This window comes from Homo sapiens, chromosome 18 (assembly GCF_000001405.40).
Source record: "Homo sapiens chromosome 18, GRCh38.p14 Primary Assembly".
NCBI lineage: Eukaryota > Metazoa > Chordata > Mammalia > Primates > Hominidae > Homo > Homo sapiens.
In genome coordinates, this window is record NC_000018.10 from 36,563,360 (window position 1) to 36,584,458 (window position 21,099).

The 21,099-nt window shown below is 40.6% G+C and overlaps 1 protein-coding gene across 45 annotated transcripts in view, besides 1 other annotated feature; it reads left to right on the forward strand.

The window, feature by feature from the left end:
* The window catches only part of FHOD3 (formin homology 2 domain containing 3), a 482,508-nt gene that overhangs the window by 265,647 nt on the left and 195,762 nt on the right, over positions 1-21,099 (forward strand). For all 45 annotated transcript variants that reach the window (XM_011526189.2, XM_011526190.3, XM_017026008.2 and 42 more), the window contains one exon: positions 13,092-13,186. In XM_011526189.2, the coding sequence (XP_011524491.1) occupies positions 13,092-13,186 (95 nt within the window). The remainder of the gene's footprint in view (positions 1-13,091; positions 13,187-21,099) is intronic.
* Positions 20,279-20,328: a silencer, noted in NCBI's record as "silent region_9405". NCBI's record gives its function as "represses an Ori minimal core promoter by ATAC-STARR-seq in GM12878 lymphoblastoid cells {active_cell/tissue: GM12878}" and the evidence as "EXISTENCE:reporter gene assay evidence [ECO:0000049][PMID:35858748]".

A 21,099-nucleotide genomic window follows, 5' to 3' on the forward strand; every position in this document is an offset into this window, starting at 1 on the left:
CTTCATAATACACCCCCGCAGGGGCTTTCGAGTAATGTTACCTTGGAACTGGGAGTTTTGGAGGTCTTTGGGTTAAACCCTTGTGTCTCTCAGATGATACCATTGAAGTCCAGAGAGGTTAATTAGCATAACAGCATCAAGAACAGCCAACCATCAGCCACGTGCTGTGCTAATACATCAGCATATTTCATCCTAACCATACAGGATCCAGGTTGGACTTGTCTTCCATCTTATGACTGCGTAAGCTCCATAGTTTTTGGAAGTAAGAAATGGTGGAGATTACATGCAAACCAGCTTCTCCGTGGGTTTAAGTCCCGTGAGTTTTCTTGATGCGGTACTGTCTTAGAAGCAAAAATCAGGGGAACTATTCTGGTATCTTTTCTTTTCTCATGCCCTGGAAACTCATGTGTCTTCTCCCAGCTACATGTGCCCCATCCTTTAAGGTATGTTTCTTGTCAGCCTCTCCATGAATCCTCCTCTAATTACTCAGGCTCATATCAGCTGCACCCTTCTCTGAATCTGGGTGTTTATGAGCTCCATTCCACTCTGCTTGGGCTTAATTACTCGTCTCTACACCTTGTGTTCATTGTCTCTGTCACCTGGTAAGCAGGGATGTCAGTCAGGGACAGATGCCCTAAGTGTATGTGTCCTGCATGGGCCGTCACTAAGCTAGGAGGAGCTGCTTTTCCCGGGTTCATTGGCCAAGCCCTTGTCACTGACTCGGTGTCACCCCAGGTGACACCCCAGGTGAACACATGAGCGCGAATGAGACAGTCCAGCCACTGCTGACCCTGCTGCAGAGTCCATTTCTGGTTCATTCCACCTGTGGCTGTGACCTGTTTTGGAGAGGCTGTGTGCTTCCACTGGTATTTCATTGGATGTAAGTCTTAGAAGATCATTATAGAATAGATCATTAAAATGACTGTTTTACTTTCCATAGAGAACCTAGAAGTCTGCCAAAAATTTTTAGAGGTTCAAAACTTGCTAATCTGTTATACTTTCCTTCATTCCTTTGGTGTCTCCTTATCTAAAATATGGGGGACTGTAGAACGGGAAAGACTGGGAGAGGGTGAGGAGCATAGGTGTAACTGAGGCTGCTACAGCCCAGCAGTAATGAAGCACCTGTTTCTGTACAGGTGGCTGATGAGGGCTCCTTTTAAATCTTTAGCATGGGAATCTTGGATATAAACTTTGCTGCTGTTGGGAAGATGAATGAATAGGCCAGAAACAAACCAGTCTTCTGTGTGTATTAGATGGGAGAAGATGCAGAGAGCTTAGCTACATAATGTCCTGCTGGGAAGAAAGGTCTATCAGAAAGAAGCACATCAGTGTCAGTGTTTCTGTTTGGAAGGCCTGGGGAGGAGGGAGGGGAGACGGGCCCTCCCTCCTTTGAGAGTTACTAAGAGTTAAGCTTGTAAGTGTTAGGGGAGAATATTAGGTCTGATTTTTTTAACAACTTTTTTGGGGGACCTTTTTTAGAAAATGGTCATTCTAAGGTAGAGAGAGGGTAGTAATTTAAGACTGCTTTAGAAAAATTTGCATTGCAAATGCTGCTAAATGTCAGCAAGGGACTCAAAACTTTGACACCTTGTTGGAGCTCTTTGTGCTGATTAAATTCTTGTCTCCAGCCTAGAATTGGCAGCTTATTCTCCTTAATTTTCATGCTGTAATAGGTATTGAAAGAGTATTTCTTTGACAGTTGCCCTTGGGGAAAACTGGACCGGAGCTTGTTATTTAGGGCAGACAATTAAGTGGAAAAGAATAATAACTAGACTCCAAGGTCTTCATTTAGTTCCAAGAATGTCAACAATATCAACCTCTTTTTAATACTTACTGCGGGCTCTGGTGAATAATGGAAATTAGGGGTAGACAAATCCAGTTCAGAGTTAAGAAGAATGAATTTTAATGGTCTGATTAAAATTAATTGAAATCCCTTCTTTAAGATGAATTAGCCCTTCCCAGAAGATAAGGGGTGAGTGATACTAATAGTTTTGTTTTGTTTTTCTCTCTGGAGATTACTTTGATTTAAAAACTCACTGCACATTTTCAGAGCTCCTGTGTTCTAATTGAAGAAAGCAGTGCCTATCTTGGTGCTTAGTGATGGGCTCATGGAAGAACTGATTGTACCCTACAGTATCCCCATCTTCATTCCCAATGTGCAAATCACAGATCATTCCTCCCAAAACAAAATAAAACCTAGTTACCACTGATACTTGCTTATAGCAGAATGTTGCCCTGTGGTAAGTTTCTTTAATGTTTCATACCATTCATTTATTTTTTTTTCTGTACTTTTGGTAGAAATAAATAGGAATTATTTCCAGTCACATTCTCAAATGGCAAAATATCTTATTGAATGGCAACAGAAAAGTATTTTCTTTATACTGCTTCTGTAAAAGAAAATGAAGTGAAGAGTGGGAAGACAGACAAGCCAAAATACTCACACATCAGTGAGAGGAATCTTGCGTTTCATGGTGGAACTCTGTGGCCTCAAATATGCAAGTGGACACTTGGTTTTTGAAACCAAAGCCTTGTCTCATACATAAAAAGGGCTGGTTTGTGGTAAAAGTTGTGATATATCTATAGTTATAATAATGCTTTAAAAAACTGCATTTAAAATGCTGAGACCTAAACTAGATAACTCCCTTAAACGGGATTATATCTCTGTGCCCATTTACAGAACACATGCAACCTTAATTTCACTGTCATATAGAAAAAGGAAGAATGGATGAGGAATTGATTAAAAGATTACACAGAGCAGCAATATTTAAGAGCTGTTTGTGCAAAAAGTCAGATGATTTTGCCAGGAAGAGATCGTCTTTCAACTTCATCAATGGCGTTTTGGTATCTTTGGCTGGAGGACAGGACATGAACAAGCAGGCAAATAACTAATTTGGTATCGGATCCTTGTATGTATCTCTAATGTATCTCTAAGAAAACATTTTTAAAAATTTTAAACATTTTTAAAAAATCAAGTCTAGCTCTGTTTGTAGAATGAATATTTATTTATTTTATATGTAAGGACTTCTGTTAAATGTAAGGCATGTTTAACTTACAGAAAATTGATAGGTTTCAAGTCAAAGCCTTCAGATGGTAGCAAAAGGTTCAGAGACAAAGGAGCCCAGATGGTCTGGGCAGGAAGCTGAAGGGCCAGAGGGTTGGCTGGAGGTGTAGTGGGGACCCTGGGCCCTGTCCCAAGCAAGACGGAACCAGAAGGTGTTCCAGCTTCAGCTGAAGTATTTCATGCCTTGGAAAAGTCATTGGTAAGAACATCTATTATGGATTTGAAAAGGAGTGGGCATCAAAGGCGGGAGACCAGCCAGGACCCGCAGTTGCTATTGTCCAGGAGAGATCATGGTATCTGAACCTGGGGCAGTAGTAGAGAGGAAGAGAAGACCTGTCTCAGAGGAACAATTAAGGGAATTGGGTGACTCACTGAAGGTGGAGGATGAGGAAAGGGAAGGAGTCTGGAATAGCAGATTCCAAAGTTTTCTGATTGGAGACCTACAGGAAAAAAAAAATTATACTTATATAAAATGAAAATAAGAACAATATTTCCCTTAATAAGTGCAGTGTACTGCGTTTTCTGTTCTATTTCATTTATTGAAAAATATGCATTACTGGTCTTATTAGATGGATTTTTACAACTTTCTAGTGGTATTTGAAAATGCAGGTATACAGTGAGCTCCATTGTCTAGCCTGGGTGACTGGGTGATGTGTCCTGTTAACAGGGTCCCTTAGGACCTACTGAGGTAGGCAGGATGAGGAGTATCTAGTGCTGAGGGGGAAGGGAAGTCAAAATCCTTCAGTCCTGCTTCCAGCAAAGCATCTGGGAGTTAGCTGTTGTCTGTGAGGCTTCCTTTTAACAGTTCATTGCAGTAAAGGGCTACCAGTTTTAAAAAGGAAGGGAAGAAGAAAAGGGAAGTAAAGAAGGGAGGAAGAGATGGAGGAAGGGAAAAAGAAGAGAAAGGATTACAAACCATGGGCTTAGCATGCTGAGACAGAATTGCAAATGGACCCTGGGCCCAGGAGTTGCTCCATCCAGGCCACCTTCCACATCGCTGTTAGATTTCTTATTGTAAAAACAGAGCAAGGAGGAGTTTTGGTTTGGAGTAAGATGGAGTAAGTACACAGGACCCTGTCTTTCCCGATGAATTCAACTATAAAACCTATAAAGACAACTATTCAATTGTCCTTCCCAATAAATTCAAGGATAAAATAGAGCAACTATTTGAAGACTCTGAAGAGTAAATGGTAGGAGGCAGATTGGGGAAGAAGACTAGAACTTAGAATATTGAACTGACAGTGCTTTTAACATTTTTCTTCTGGTATTCTCTGGTCTGGACTCAAATTAGTGCAAAACCCAGAAGTGGACTTGGGTGTGGACAGAGAGAATTCAAGATCTTTCTATTTCTGGCTTGAGTAGGAGGAGTCTCACATGTTTCTCACTCTGTTATCTTGCCCCCTCTCCCCCAGGTAATCCCATGGTGAGAACAGCAGGGGCATATGGGCACCTAAAACTCTGAGGAGTGGGGTGGAAACTCACTCACAGAAGTCTGGTTTTTCCTTCTCTGTTTTTCTGCTTGGCCCCAGTTGTGGCTAGCTATAGTCATGGAAATTAAGTGGCTGAACAAGTTAAGTAATGCTCCAGCTCTCTGGCTGAAGGACTAAGAAGGGGGAGCCTCAGCTGGGTGTGGTGGCTCAAGCCTGTAATCCCAGCACTTTGGGAGGCTGAGGCAGGTGGATAACTTGAGGTCAGCAGTTTGAGACCAGCCTGGCCAACCGGACAAAATCCCATCTCTACTAAAAATACAAAAAAAAAAAAAAATAAATTAGCCAGGCATGGTGGTGCACATCTGTAATTCCAGCTACTCGGGAGGCTGAGGTACCAGAATCACTTGAACCGGGGAGGCAGAGTTTGCAGCGAACTGAGATGGCACCAGCCTGGGCGACAGAGCAGACTCTGTCTCAAAAAAAAAAAAAAAAAAAAAAAAAAAAAAAAAAAAAAAAAGGTGGTGGAGGGAGCCTCAGGGAACCTAAAAGTATCAGGAATATAATGGAGAAGGAGAAGCTCAGGAACGTGAAAGTTTTATGTGAACCCCTGGGCTCCACACACGTGAAAGTTTTATGTGAACCCCTGGGCTCCACACAGACTGCATGCATGAATCTGACCCTAAACAGCATAGCAGTGACTTTGAGAACTGAACAAGATAGATACTGCCCAGGCCCCAGACTGTCGACTTTGTAGTACACATACAGAGCTCAACCAAATGGCACGGCAAGGGCTCTGAAAACTGAACTGATATTAGAGCCACAGAAGACAGGTCAGAACTTGTGACTCAAACTGAACCAGGTTAATTGCCTGCTTAAACAAAAATGTCAACATTTTCTGTAATATTTAAACAAAACCCAGAGTTTCATAACATTATTTTAAAAATATCCAGGAGATAAGCCAAAATTACTTGGCGCGCAATGAACTAGGAAAATCCCAACTTGCATGGGAAAAGATAGATCACCACCCCTGGGCCAAGTTGATACAGATACTTGATTTTTCAGTTTTTAATGCAGCCATTATGAAAATGCTTCAGGAAGTAAGAGTGAACATTCCTGAAATGAATAGAAAGATGGAAAGTCTCATTAAGAAATAGAATATATAGAGAACCCAATGGAAAATTTAGAAACGAAATTTACAATGAAAGATACAATAACCAAAGTAAAAAGCTTACCAGATGGGCTCGGTAGCAGATTGGAAATGATAGACCTTAAATAAGACACATTAGTACTTATATTACATATGACTGGTCTAATCACAGTAATTAAAAGACAGACATTAATGAATAAATGAAACAAGACCCAACTAAATGCTGCTTACAAGAAACCCACTTATAATGCTATAGGTGGTTTAAAAGCAAAAGGATGCAGGAGAAAAAAACATGCAAACACTAATCAAAAGAAGGTGAAGTGACTATATTAATTATTAGAAGAAGTAGGCTTCAGAGCAAAGAAAATAATTAGAGGCAAAGCAGACATTATAATGACAAAAGAATCAGGTCACCCAGAAAACTAGAGCTTCAAAATTCATAAAGCAAAAACAGAACTGAAATAAGAAATAGAAAAAATTCTGTTGTAGTTGGAGACTTCAATACTTCTTTTTTGGTAATCAATAGAATTGACAGACTGAAAATCAGCAAGGCTATGAAGGAACTGAATGGCACCATCAACCAAATAGTTCTAATTGACATCTTTAGAAAACACTACCCAACTACAGAGAATACATATTACTTTCAAATATGCATAAAACATTCACCAATATAAATCATATCATGGGTCACAAAATAAACCATAACCAATTTAAAATAATTGAAATACTGTAATTTCTGACTGGAATAAAATTAAACTGTAAATCAGTAACGGAAGGAGAACATGAATATGTCCAAACTCTTAGAAATTAACACACTTCTAAATAATCCATGTGTTGAGGAATTCTCAATGGAAGTTAGCAAACGTTTTGTACTAAATGAAAATACAACACATCAGATTTGTGGGATGTGGTTGAAGCAATGCATGAGGGAAATTTCTAGCATTACCTGCATATATTAGAAAAGAGGGAAATAATAATGTAAGCACCTACCTTAAGAAACTAGAGTAAGAAAAGTAAAATAAAACCAAATAAGTAGAAGGAAGAAAATAATAAAAGTAGAAATTGATGAAGTTGAAAGCGGAGAAAAAAATAGAGAAAATCAATGAAACAAAAAGCTGATTCTGTGAAAAGAAAAATAAAATTGACCAACAAGAATGACAAATGAAAAAAGAGAAGATATGCATTGCTAACATTAAGAATGAAAGGGGATTAAACTTCACTTCAATGAATTATGACAGAATACTATGAACAACTCTCAGCACATAAAATTGATACATTAGATGAAATGGATCAATTCCTTAAATGGATCATTTCCTTAAAAACCACAAACTACCAAAACCCACCCAAGATGAAATGATAACCTGACTAGCCCCATTACTGTAACTATTAAAGAAATTTAATTTGCAGTTAACCTTCTTAACAAAATATCTCCAGCCCCAAACAGTTGCCTGGTGAATTCCACCAAACATTTAAAGATAAAATAAAACCAATTTTACAAAATCTCTTCCAGAAAACAGAAGAGGAGGAAACACTTCCCAATTCATTTTATGAGGTCAGTATTACCATGGTATGAAAACCAGACATAAAATACACTGAACAATATTTATTATGAACAAAGATGCAAAAAATCCTCAACAAATATTAGTAAATCAAATCCAGCAATATATGAAAAGAGTAATATGCCATGGTCAAAAAGGATGCAAGACTCATTGAGTATTTGAAATTCAGTTAGTATAACCTACTGCATTAACAATCTGAAGAAGAAAAAACACAATCATATCAGTTGATGTAGAAGAAGCATTTGACAAAATTCATTCATTCATGATTTACAAAAAGCTCTTAGCAGACTAGAAATTGGAGAAACTTTCTCATCTTGATAAAAGACAATTTACAAAAACATATGTCTAACATCATAATTAATAGTAAAGGATTATTAATGCTTTCTCCCTAATATTAGGAACAAGGCAAGGGTGTTCACTCTCACCACGCCCATTGAATATTATACTGAAAGTCTTCACTAGTGCAATAGGGATGGGAAGAGGGATATAGATTGGGAAGGAAGAAATAAAATTGTTCTTTTTCACAAACAGCATTATTGTCTATGTACAAAATTCCAGGAAATCTACAAAAACAAAACAAAAAATCAAACACTCCTAGAATTAATGTTTAACAAAGTTATAGGATATAAGGCCAATATACAAATTCAATTTTGTTTCTATATACTAACAATAAACAATTAGGAATGGAAAGGTTTTTAAAACACCGTTTGTAATAGCTCCAAAGAATGTGAACTACTTATAATTTTGGCAAAAAATACCATCCCAAACAAACATATATTGCATCTATAGTTGAAAACTATAGAACACTGATAAAAGCAATCTGCGAAGATGTATAATAAATAGACATAACAGGTTTATAGGTTAGAAGATTCAGCAGAGTAAAGATGTCAGTTCTCCTAGAATTTATAGATTAACATTATTTCCAGAAAGATTTTGTTGTTGTTGTTGATTTAGACAAGCTGCTTCCAGAATTTGTATTAAAAGGCAAAAGAACAAGAATGGCTGAACCAATTTTGAAAAAGAAGAACGAATAGGAAGAATCATACTACCTGATTTTAACATTTACTCTAAAGCTATGGTGATCCAGATTGTGTGGCATTGGCAAAGGGTTGGACAGACCAATGGGACAGAAACAGACCCGTACAAACACAACCAGTTGATTTTTGGCAAATTTGCCAAAGCAATGAAATAGAAAAAGGACAGTCTCTTTAACAAATGGCATTAGTTGGACCTATGAAAAAAAAATGAACCTCAATCTATGCTTCTTTGTACAACAGTTATCTCAAATTGGATCATAGAGCTACATATAAAGAGGAGAAACTACATATTTTTAGAAGAACACATAAGAGAAAATCTTTGTGACTTCTAGTTAGGCAAGGAGTTTTCCCACCACTTCTCATGACCCACAGCTGGGTAAGGTTAGCCTGGAGAGCTTGCTCCCTGTTTTCTGTTTTTGAGAGTTGTTCAGCGTGTGCTTCTGTTCATTGGAGGCACTGTTCTAACTCATTCCTCACCACACCCCTGCAAAATAGATAGTATGGTATAGCCGTGTCATTTTTGAGATGAAGAAACTGAAGCACAGAAAGATGAATAAATATACCTTGAGTGTAATAAGTTCCATGAGTGGCAGAACAGGAAATGCTCTCTTCCTAGACCTGTGGTGCCATCTACCTCTGTGTTCTGATAGACAGTCTCAGCCTCCACATTCTTCTTGAAAACACAAATCATGAATTTTCATGGCTCCTGTGACCCAGACGTGTGTTTTCAGGGCATCTGTTTTGTTCTTCTGTGTGGGTTTTATTCTCAGGCCCACGTTTGAGGTTGGTGGGTTTTTGCTGCTTGTAGTGCAATATTAACCCACATGAATCTATTTAGCGCCATCTCGTGTCTGGAGCGGTTTACAGGCCGGATTGCTTTAGTAGTAGTGGGTAGGTACAAAAAAGATGTAGTGGGAAAGATTTGATTACCAAAATATGAAAAATTAGCGTGATCGGACACTTGAATTCCATTAGACATGAACTTTGTAGTGATGCACCTCTTCCAGTATGATCCAGTTAATAGAATGTTGCGGGGAACAGATCAAGTCAGCTTTTAAACCTTAGTTTGCCTTCTCCCATTGTAATAGTGTCCTGGCTTCTTGGGCACTTGGCCAGTACCAGAGGCCCTGAGCTCTTGGGGGGAGGCCTTCAGTCCCAGCTTCTCAGCCTTGTGGAGAGTCTTCCCCGTGGATATACCTTCCAGAAGGCTAAAGAGTCTACCTTCTCTCTCCCTGTGTGGTTAGCTGATTTAAAGGAAGGTGCCAAAATGTACCTCAGGATTGGCCTTTTCAGCAGCGGGACTCAGAATGGGAAAAGGACAGTGGAGCAAACTCCTCTTCCATGGAGACTTGCCAGTTTGTTTGGGAAGGGAAGGAGGGAAGAAATGGGAAAAAATAGGGCAGAATGTGCCGAATTCTTGGAGCTCTTCCATGAGGTAGGGGCTGCATCTTTCTGCAGGAGGGTGGGGGTGGTGGTGGTAAGAAAGGATGCACTAGTAAAAAAATTCTAAAAACAAAAGCATGTAACACCTCACATTATTCAGTCTTATTTTTGTTCTTTTTTTTTTTTTTAACATATTTTACTTTTCCATTACAGAAGTAATCGATGCTCATGTTAGAAAGCTGGGAAAATAGGAAAAATACATCCAAAGAATATATACTCAATCACAATGGTTAATATTTTATGGATTTCCTTTTCTTCTTTGTATGCATGAAGATTGGAGTGTTATAACTGGGCACGGTGGCTTATGCCTGTAATCCAGGCACTTTGGGATTCCAAGGCTGGTGGATCACTTGAGCCCAGGAGTTTGAAACCAGCCTGGATAGCAGAAGGAGACCCTATCTCTACAGAAAAAAAAAAAAAATAGCTTGGTGTGGTGGCATGTGTCTGTGGTCCCAGCTACTCAGGAGGCTGAGATGGGAGGATCATTTGAGCCTGGGTGGATAAGGCTGCAGTGAGCCATGATGGCACCACTGCTCCAACGTGGGTGACAGCGTGAGACCGTGTCTCAACTAAAAGAAGATTTGAGTGTTTAATAATGTGATGTTGCTTTTTACTTATTTTATTTAATTATGTGATGTTGCTTTTTACTTATACTTGCTTTTTACTTATTTTATGAGAAACATTTTACAAGTTAGGACATAGCTTTGGTAAATGACTGTGTACGCTGAGTTCTAGGACCATGACAGGTATTTGTGTTTTAGTTATTATTTTGGTATATTAAATAATGCTTCAGTGAACACCTTTGCTTCCTTTTTTATTTTGTTTAAACTTAGAGCTATTTCCTTAGAATAGGTTTCCCAAATCATGATGACTGGGAAAGGGCTTGAAGAGGACTTCGAGGCTCTTAGTATAAACACATACGTGCTCACCCACCCTGGCTGGAAGTGGGCTCTGCTACTTAGGCAGTGATGGAGATTTTGGTCACATCCCTTCACTTCTCAGAGCCTCAGTTTTTTCTTCTTCCAAATGGAGGTAAAAATACCCACTGCATATGGCTTTTCTATTAATAATACCTATAAAGTCCCTCTGGAGAACTTGGCACACAGTGAGCGCTAAATACATGGTAACTTTACAAAATAATTATAGTTCTAGATAGCCTTATTACAGGTTTCTACCAGTTTGCCCTACCACCAGCAATGCATGAAGTTATTTAACCTCTCTAGTGTTTGATACATAATCATTTCTTTTTAAAATACCTTTGCCAATTTGAGTGAAAACACTACCTTATTATTATTTTAATTTGCATTTGTTTTATTATAGTGAGAGTGAAAAATTTTGCATGCTATTATAAACAAGTTTGTTGTCTCTCATATAAAATGCCTTTTTTCTATTGGCATTTAATATTGTCTTACTAGTTTGTATTAACTATTTAAAGAAATTATTCTTTAACATATTTGTTGTCATAGATCCACTTATCTAGTATAATTTTATATCAAACTTTCATATGCTGCATTCAAATGCTGCATACAGATTTCTCATTAGGATGAGAAATGTGATTATAATTGTAATCTCTTTGTAATAAATTCTGTGAATTTTTTTATTGTATCTATAATTTTACTTGCAAATTATGACAATATGTATTTCCAACAATTTTGTATCTTATCATTTTTCATATCTTATTAAATTTGCCTGAAATTCTATAGCAGTGTTAAATAATCCATGGGTTTAATGAGCATCATTTAAAAATTATTTCTGATTAGTAGGAATATCTCTAGTGTTTTACCATTAAATAGACTATGAATCTGTTATTTCTCAAAATATACTGCTTATTGTGTCAAGGATATGTCCAAATAATTTTTAAATTTTTTGAGTTATTACATATTTAGGAGCATATTTTTTCTCAGAATAATGTGGTTTTCTTTTTCTTTTTTCTCTTTTTTTTTTTCTTTGTTCAGACAGAGTTTTGCTCTATCACCCAGACTGGAGTGCAGTGGTGCGATCTTGGCTCACTGCCACCTCCGCCTCCTGGGTTCAAGCAATTTTCCTGCCTCAGCTTCCTGAGTATCTGGGATTACAGGTGTGCACCACCACACCCATCTAATTTTTGTGTTTTTAGTAGAGACAAGGTTTTGCCATGTTGGTCAGGCTGGTCTTGAACTCCTCACCTCATGTGATCCACCTGCCTTGGCCTCCCAAAGTGTTGGGATTACAGGCATGAGCCACTGTGCCCAGCCACTAATGTAGTTTTCTTATTTGATCTTCTGTTGGATAGGATGCATTTTCTAATATTACATATATATTTGCATACTTAGAATTTGTGTTTACTGTTTTCTGTTTTGCTCTTTCTAATCAACGTATTTCATGTAGAATGTTTCCTACAACCCACATATAAACTTTGTGTGTGTTTGTAATGCATAAAAAAAGAATGTAAGAAAATACATCAATATTTTAAGAATGGTTATCTTTAATTTATGGGAACATGAATTATTTTCACTTTATTCTTCTGTATTTTTCTAATTTTCTAAAATAAGCTGTTCTACTGTTACCAGCATAAAAAATGTTGTTTAGAAAAATGTCAATGCCCTGACAATTAGTTATGGGTGAAATATGATTAGGAGCTTAGATGTGACTGGTGGAGTCCTCCTTCCTTTAGGGCATGTAACTTCTGTTTGTTCATTATCTATCAGTCAGATTATTTTGATAATAATGGAGTTGAAAAACTGAGTTTAATGTTTACTTAAAAAACATAGCTAGTGTTTTCTGTTTGGAGAATAATGATGGTATATGGTGACTATATATTTTCCTAAACTAAGAATTTAGGATTTGGTATGTGACGAATGTGTGATATCATGTATTTTCATGATACCTGATGTTTTTACTTGAAAATCTTTAAAGGGAATTACTCATAATATTTAACTATGCATTTATTGCTGACCTATTGGAATAAAATTGGATTAACCCAGGATGATCCCACAGAATCTAAGACTTGCTGACCACAGACTGGGGCACTGGACAGGTTGCTTTTGGAAACTTCGTTTGTCCTTGTGGCCCCAGTGGGAGGCCACAACCCAGACACCATCTCATGAATATCTTTGTCCTGTCTGGGACTACACACAGATATAGAAACAGAAAAACATGCATTTATACATCAAGGCACACAGAAACAACAATCACTGGATTGGTGCCTTAATTGCATCTTCCGGGAGCCTGGAATAGCCCTTGTTTCTTCTAGTGTTCGACACTTTCTCTCTGAAATGAGATTTAGTTAATTTCAGAGCTCAGGAATTCTCCTCAGATTTGATTCTTAACATACTGTGTACTTAAAGTATGAAAATCTTGATCAGCATTATGATCACTGAAGATTATATTTCTATATACATCTATAATGTCTCCTTTTTCTCTTGTTTTCTGTAGCTTTGGGCCAGATTATGTTGTATGTGGATGGAATGAATGGAGTAATAAACCGCAATGAAACCATTCAGTGGCTGTACACTCTCATTGGGTCAAAGGTAAGGGGAAGTTATGGTTGACTGTTTTGTTCACTTGTCATATCACTTGCCTTTCTTTTTTCTCTGAGTCAGTTTTGCAGAAAGAAATTTTATTCAGCTTTTTTCAAGCCGTTACAGTATAAATGAGGATTACTACTCTACAAATTTTAAGATACACTTAAATTGCAAATAGCTCATGAAATTTTAATGCATTTCTCTTTTCTCTTCTCTTAAGCTTTAATCAAGTGCCTTTGGAACCTTCGGTTTTTAATATTTAATCAAATGTTATACCATAGGGCCGGGCGTGGTGGCTCACACCGGTAATCCCAGCACTTGGCAAGGCCAAAGCGGGTGGATCACGAGATCGAGACCAGCCTGGCCAACATGGTGAAACCCTGTCTCTACTAAAAATATAAAAATTAGCTGGGCATGGTGGCACGCGCCTGTAGTCCCAGCTGCTCGGGAGGCTGAGGCAGGAGAATCACTTGAACCCGGGAGGCAGAGGTTGCAGTGAGCTGAGATCATGCCACTGCACTCCAGCCTGGGTGATGGAGCAAGACTCTGTCTCAAAAAAAAAAAAAAGTTATACCATAGATGTAAGATCTGTGAACCATCTGTATTTCATGTTCGTGTGTACATATATATTTATATGTTGTACATATGTATATGCATATTCCTATATGGATAAAGAATCCGAGATTACCTTTCAGCTCTAACATCAATTATAAAAGTAATCAATGTTTATTACGGATTTGCCAGGCACCAAACTAGGTATTTTATTTTATTTTATTTATTGAGACAGAGTCTTATACTCTGTTGCCAGGCTGGAGTACAGTAGCATGATCTCAGCTCCCTGCAACCTCCACCTCCTGAGTTCGAGCAAATCCCATGCCTGTCTCCCAAGTAGGTGGGATTAAAGGCATGACCCACCACCCTGGGCTAATTTTTGTATTTTTAATAGAGACAAAGTTTCACCATGTTGGCCAGTCTGGTCTTGAACTCCTGGCCTCAAATGATCCACCTGCCTTGGCCTCTCAAAGTGCTGGGGTTACAGGTGGGAGCCACCACATCCGGCCCATACTAGGTGTTTTATAAGCGTGATCTCATTTAATTCTCATGAGGCCACTGTCAGGTAAGTAATATAATTCCCATTTGGTAGTTGAGGAAATAGTGCTTGATTATGAAAGCCTAGCTGGTTTCCCCATGCATTTTGGCACATCACCACCAGCCACGCCTTGGCTGCCAGGTCCCTGAGGTCTCTGGAGGTCCTGCCAAGGAAGCAGATCTATTCCGTCACTTCAGGTGCGCCGAAAGCTGGGCAAGCCTCTGGCATAGTCTTCTCTGGTTTCTGCCGGGGTGTGGAGGAGCATGTGTTAGGGACCTGACTGCAGGGGGATTTGGGAGAAGTAGTGAAAGGGACCCTGTCCTGAGCAGGTGCACATGCACCAAGGTTAAAGTGCTGTACGGGTGGCACGTTATGGAGATCAGAGTGGCTGTAGTGGGCAACATGGTCAGATGGAGTGGGGGATCTTGAGGGCCTGGATACAGAATTTGAACCTGAATTAAACAGGTCACAGAATCAGCATAGCTTTGTAGGGTCCCTGAAAAGCATATTGGATTAATCTGTTCTCACACCGCTAATAAAGACATACCTGAGACTGGGTAATTTATAAAGGAAAGAGGTTTAATGGACTCACAGTTCCACATGGCTGGGGAGGCCTCAAAATCATGGCGGAAGGCGGAGGAGGAGCAAAGGCACATCTTACATGGTGGCAGGCAAGAGAGTGTGTGCAGGGGAGCCACCCTTTATAAAACCATCAGATCTCAGAAGACTTATTCACTATCATGAGAAAAGCATGGGAAAAACCCACCCTCATGATTCACTTACCTCCCACTGGGTCCCTCCCATGACATGTGGGAATTATTACAATTCAAGGTGAGATTTGGGTGGGGACAGAGAACCAAACCATATCACATGTGGTCTGCCCAGACTGTCCCCCATCCCTGTGTTCACTGCCCACCCCCACTAGAGTGAGCCTTTCCAGGCTGCTGTTCACAGTGCTGTGCTCTGCTGGGGAGTCCATCCCCTGGCCCTACCCCTGGAGTCACCTGCCTCCCAAGGATTCTGCTGTCCTTTGGGAGCACTCAGCCCTGGTTTGATTTGGGGAGGAGTATGGTTCTAGTTTTAGGCTGTATCTCCTTCTCAGGCTTCTCAGAATCCTGGTGATTGTGTCCTTGTGTGGTTGGAAGGGCTTTTTCTCTGTGGCTGGCACTGGCATGCGAATCCCCATGGGGTCCCATATCCGTGGGTGACCCTCACATCTTGCCCTCAGGTTTTCTTTTTCTAGTACTTATTGATGAGAGAATTTTTCCCCATTTCAGATTAGAAACAGCTATGCTTTCCCTCAGAAGATTGAAAATCTTTAAAAAAAAATGTTTGGCTTTGTTTTCTATGGAAAATGGAAGTGACTCTGTTTTGAAACTGATGTAGGTGACCTTGGACACTGAGTGAAATGCTGGGCTTTCTAGGTTGCATCAGCCAGACCGAGGGAAGATTTATATCTCATATCCTGTTTCAGTTTTTTCTCCTTTTTCCTTGCTTGTGCTGGGAAGCCTCCCTAACTTTCATGTTCATTTGGAACCTGCTCCCTCCCCAAGGCACTCTGAATGGTCTCAAGGACATAAAAGCTAGGGAGATGGGAAGAGATTTTGCAAGAAAGATTGACTTTTTGTACATGACACAGCTGAATTAAGATATCTTTATGGTTTTATGATGGCCATGATAAAACACCAACAACTTGCCCTATTTCTAAAAGGAAATAAAACCTAACATGCTTACAATAGAAAAACTGACAGTCTGTTAGCTCATCACCAGACAGAGAATAGAGTGAGGGCAAGGTTAGGGAAGGTGGGATGGGTATGGGGAAGAATCACTGTGAGCAGGGAGAGATTACATAGAGAATGCTGTGGTCTGAATGTGCCTCCCTAAATTTTTGTGGTGTAAACGTGATCCCCAATGCAACAGTGTCAAGAGGTGTTTAGGTCATGAAAGCTCTGCTGTCATGAATGGATTAATGCCATTATAAGAAGGATTTGTGGAAGGAGTGCATTTGCTCTCTTTTGATTCTCTGCCATGTGAGGGCACAACCTTCCTGCCCTCCAGAAGATACAGCAACAGGCACCATCTTGGATGCAGAGAGACTGGGCCCTCACAGTCAGTGCCTTGATCTGGGACTTCCCAGCCTCCAGAACTGTGAGAAATAAATTTCTGTTCTTCATAAATTACCCAGTCTCAGGTATTTCTCTTTATAGCAGCAAAAATAGACTAAGAGAGGAAAGGCACAAAGAAAAGAAGAGGGAGAGATAGAAAAGAGGGAGGAGAAGGACCACGGAGGAGGAAAAGAAGAAGAGCAGCAGAGAAAAAAAAAAACAGAAATAACAGAAATGCATGCCATGGCTCAGAGTCTCTGATGTGGCAACAGCATCATATTGATATTACTTTGGAATCATTCTGTAAGGAAAATAAACAATCAGGAAAGAATAAACACACAGGAAAATCTTTATTGCATTTCTAAATAACATGGAAAAATTATAAAATTAAAAAGTTTCAAAAATACATTTGTAGGAATTGTGCTTTCCCAGCCTCCCCATCCTACACGGTGCACTCGGTGTGTGCTTCCTCAGTGGTGGTTCAGGACTCTGGGCTGCCTCTTCAGGGCCTCTGTCTAAGGTGGCACACTCGCCTCCTCCCTAGCCATTTGGGCCGTCAGCACTGGATCTGTGTGGATTTCTGTCTTCATCTTTTATTTTCCCAAAGGCAGGTCTAGAATAGTCTCTGGCTCCTGTGTTCTGCACTGTGCTGGTCATAATGAGGACAAGAGAGTGGAGCCAAGAGTCAGCCTGTGCCTTGGAGTTCACTGTGTTGTTGGAAAGGAGAATTCTGGGGAACAGTGATGCCACAGCCCATCCCACTAACTGTGATGTCACATGAAGGTCTCCTGCCCCCCTGCAGGGTGTGCTCTGTTCTAGGCGAGTTGCTGAAAGTTAACAAAGGCAGTAGCTGCCAAGTTTATTTCCAGTCTACATAGTTCTAATGAGATCACCTCTTATTTACAAAACCAATAGAGTGTCTGCTGATACTCTTCCCTCACCCCCATCTGAATAATGAGAAATTGAAAAGAACAACAGATACATCAACCCAAGACCCTTAGATTTTGAGAAGGAGGCCTCAGTCTCCTCCTTAAACATACAGTTTGGTCAATACAGCTGCAATGGGTTTTCCCCAATTCAAATTAAGAAATCAGCAAAGCCAGGGGCCCTAGCATTTCCTTTTGACAAAGAGTCAGATTTATCTTAACCTGGAAAGGTTACCTTGACATCCAGTTGCCTTTGCCTTATACAGTCACAGAGTTGATAAAGGAAGTACTGGAGCAGAAACATCTTGTCACTGTGTTTTCATAATTCATCATTTTTCTTCCATGAAAGGCAACAAGATGTGATTTTGCAGCCTGCCAGAGGCTCATTATGCAATGCATATTTGCAGATATTTGAGACTCATAGCCAGGGGAGAAAATAATGCATTCGTAGCCAAATAATGACTTTTTAAAAGAAAGAAAAAAGTGTTTTCAATAAAGTGTTTCTTTCTATTTACAAGAGCCAATCTTTAAACTCTCCAGTCAGAGGTAAGAGGCAGATGCCAGGCCCATGACTTATCACAGGATGTGGATTTTTTTCTCTTCATACATCTGGAATTCTAATTAATTGGAGTAAGATGATTCAGTCTATACAGCATGGCCCTTTGTCACCCAGCACAGAGAGTCTGTCTCTTTATCTCTATGGATCCTCTTTTGGCCCAAGGGGAAGGCCTCAGGGCCCTGAGCCTGGCAAACTCTCACCTCCTTGCTGCCTCTTAGGGGTGCCTCAGGGCGCTGGCATGGAAGCTTCCCTGTCTGCATTGCTCTCCAGGTTAGCTTGCCTTGCTCTGTCTAAGTTCCCATCAGCCCCATTGGATCTCATCCTTCCATCTGTGCCCCATATTGCTGATCACAGGTCTCCAGACTTCCTTTCTACTTGTGTGAGGGTGTGCAGGCCTCCCTACTCCTATGTAGGCCTATCTGGAGGAGCCCTGGCCAAGGCCCTCCTTGCACGCACGTACACACACATACATACATGCTCGTGCTCATGCGCTCTCTCTTTCTCTGTCATATACATTAGAGAACCTATGAGCCCACCCGCCAGCCACCCCACCCCCAACACTGGGGACATTGCTGAAAGTTTGTTTAGGACTGCAAAATGAAGAAAAAATAAGTAACGTGGTGTGTAGAATGGAGTGGTGGAGGAGGGGAAATTGACAGGGATGGGAAAGCTGGGTGGGAAGGGTTAGCTCAGTATCACAGCTGTGAGGTGAGAGTAGCAGTGGAAACAGAATAATGAAAAAATAGAGACATTTTGAGGACTAGCCTTCTAGGAGGAGATTTCTGGATATAGGAAAATAAAAGGAATCAAAGGTTGGGGGTCACAGTTTGACTCTGCAGCTAGAAATATGGCAGTGCCAATGGCAGTAGAAGAGTTGGACATTGGGGTTTGTTGGCAAGAAAACTTTGGACACACTGGTTTGGAGATGAAGGAAATATTCCCAAAGAGAGCTAAGTGCCATGGAGCCTGGTGCTCCATGTGCCCCAGGAGACACTGGCTGATGGGCAAGGAGAGGAGATTCGGTGAGCCCTCTGGTCTTGGAGCCACTGGCATGTCACTGTTGTGTGATCTGCTCAGATGACCCAAATATGGGGGTGAGAGCTGAAGACCTTTGTAAGTTACGTAATGTAAATAATAGAATCCTAGCCTTGAAGAGATGGCAATGTCATGTTAAAGGTGTTCCTGACATCATCAGTCCCATTCCTCATACTTCTAGATGCAGAGGGATCATCAAATCATTTGCCTAGGTTGCCCAGGAATACTGTTGCATGCTGGAATTGGTGGAAAGCCTTCCTTTTTCGGACATGCATTACCTGTCATTAACCAAATGCTTGTGCATTGTTTTGTTGAACAAGACACTCTGACTTGCTGTGGAAGCAAAGTATTTACAGGCAGTTACCATGTGAACCCTGTCCAAGCTAAACTTGATGGCTGCTACAGATAGTACTTGGGGATATAATTTTCAGCTCCTCATCATACTGGTTACCAACTCTTCTGTTCATGTAGTACAAAGAATAGTAATATGGTAGCTGGGATGCGATGTCATTCTTCCACAAATCCCACCTCTGATATATTACATCTTTTAGCAGCAGCCTTGGCTGTTGCCTCCGTTTGAACCGGTAATCCACTAAGCCTTCCGGATTTTTGTCACACATTTTTATCTGCCAGTTTCTTCCATTCTGCGTGTCTGCGATTGATTGATTCACGTTTAAATTCAGGGCCTTGCATTTTTCCCCCATTGATTGTGGGCCAGAGTTCCAGCCTCAAGATAATTAAGAATTCTGTTCTGCTTCTTTCTCTTATTAACTGTTAGTGCTAATTTTATTTAACAAAAAATGAATAAGCAGATCTTCCATGCCATTGATGAAAATGTCTAGTGGGACAGAGACAAGGAATGCATAAACCAGTGCAGCCTGCAGGTTGACACTGATCAGTCAAGGCATTTTAGGGTCATTGTACAATTAGTGGGAAGCCGTTGAACTCTGACCATCCAGCTGTGTTTCTTCATTGGGGTCACAAGGCCTTCCTGGAATCACGATATGCTGCATCTGACAGTCAGTGCCAGAGCTTTGGGGTCACACACGCCTGCACCATCCTTGGGGTGGGTTGCTTTTTCATCTACAAAATGGGAGTGATAATAGTGAAGAAGACGTAAAACACTAAGCAACAGGAGATGCCCAGTATGGTTTCCTGCCCCTGCCCTAGGAGTACAGGGTTTTATTCTTTTCCCTTCTCCTCCCCCACCTTGTTGACCTTCCCTGTGGCTTAAGGCTTTTGTCTCAAAGAGGAGAAGCCTCTGGCTGGGGTTTCCCCTCCTTTTCACAGTGCTGGCTGCTCCCTTCCTCCTTTAGGGTTGTTGCTGTTCTGCCTGCTGTGTGGCTGTGCACCGCTAGGCCTGCACTACTGGGAAAGTTTCTTAGGTCCCAGCCCTGCCCCCAGCTTCTTTGTGAGTGCCATGGAGAGCAGCCTACTGGTGGCTGCCAAATCCCTTTGTGTCTGCAGTTCCAAGGGGTTTATGCTCTCATGGTAGCCCACAGTTGACATTTGACAATTTGCTAAAACTATTATCTGAGGTTTTATTGTTTAATTATTATTATTATTATTATTACTATTATTATTATTTTGAGACGGAGTCTCACTCTGTCACCCAGGCTGGAGTATAGTGACACAGTCTCGGCTCACTGCAGCCTCAACAGCCCAGGCTCAAGCAATCCTCCTACCTCAGCCTCCTGAGTAGCTGGGACCACAGGGAACACACCACCACACCCAGCTAATTTTCTGTGTTTTGAATGGAGATGGGGTTTCACCATGTTGCCCAGTCTGGTCTCAAACTCCTGAGCTTAGGTGATTCTCCCACCTTGGCCTCCCAAAGTGCTAAGAATACAGGCGTGAGCCAGCATGCCCAGCCTGAGTTTTTCCTGCTGCTTTGTATAAATGGCTTCATTTTCCTCCCCTACCCTGCCTCAGATGATAGTCCATTGCTGGCCTCTCACCCTTTCTGGGTGGATAGAACACTCTCCCTCCCTAGATTTCAGGCTACTTGGTTTTCCTGCAACCCCAGGTATATGATGGGCTCAAGAAAAGTTATGGCGTGAAAGATTGTTTGTCTCTCTCTTATTATTAGGTTGGGAGTGACACTCGACATCTTTCCAGCTGGAAGCCAGAAGTCCAATTGTTAATATTATAAAAACACTGTAAATATACTGCAATAGCATGAGATGTACTCAGCCAGCAAATTC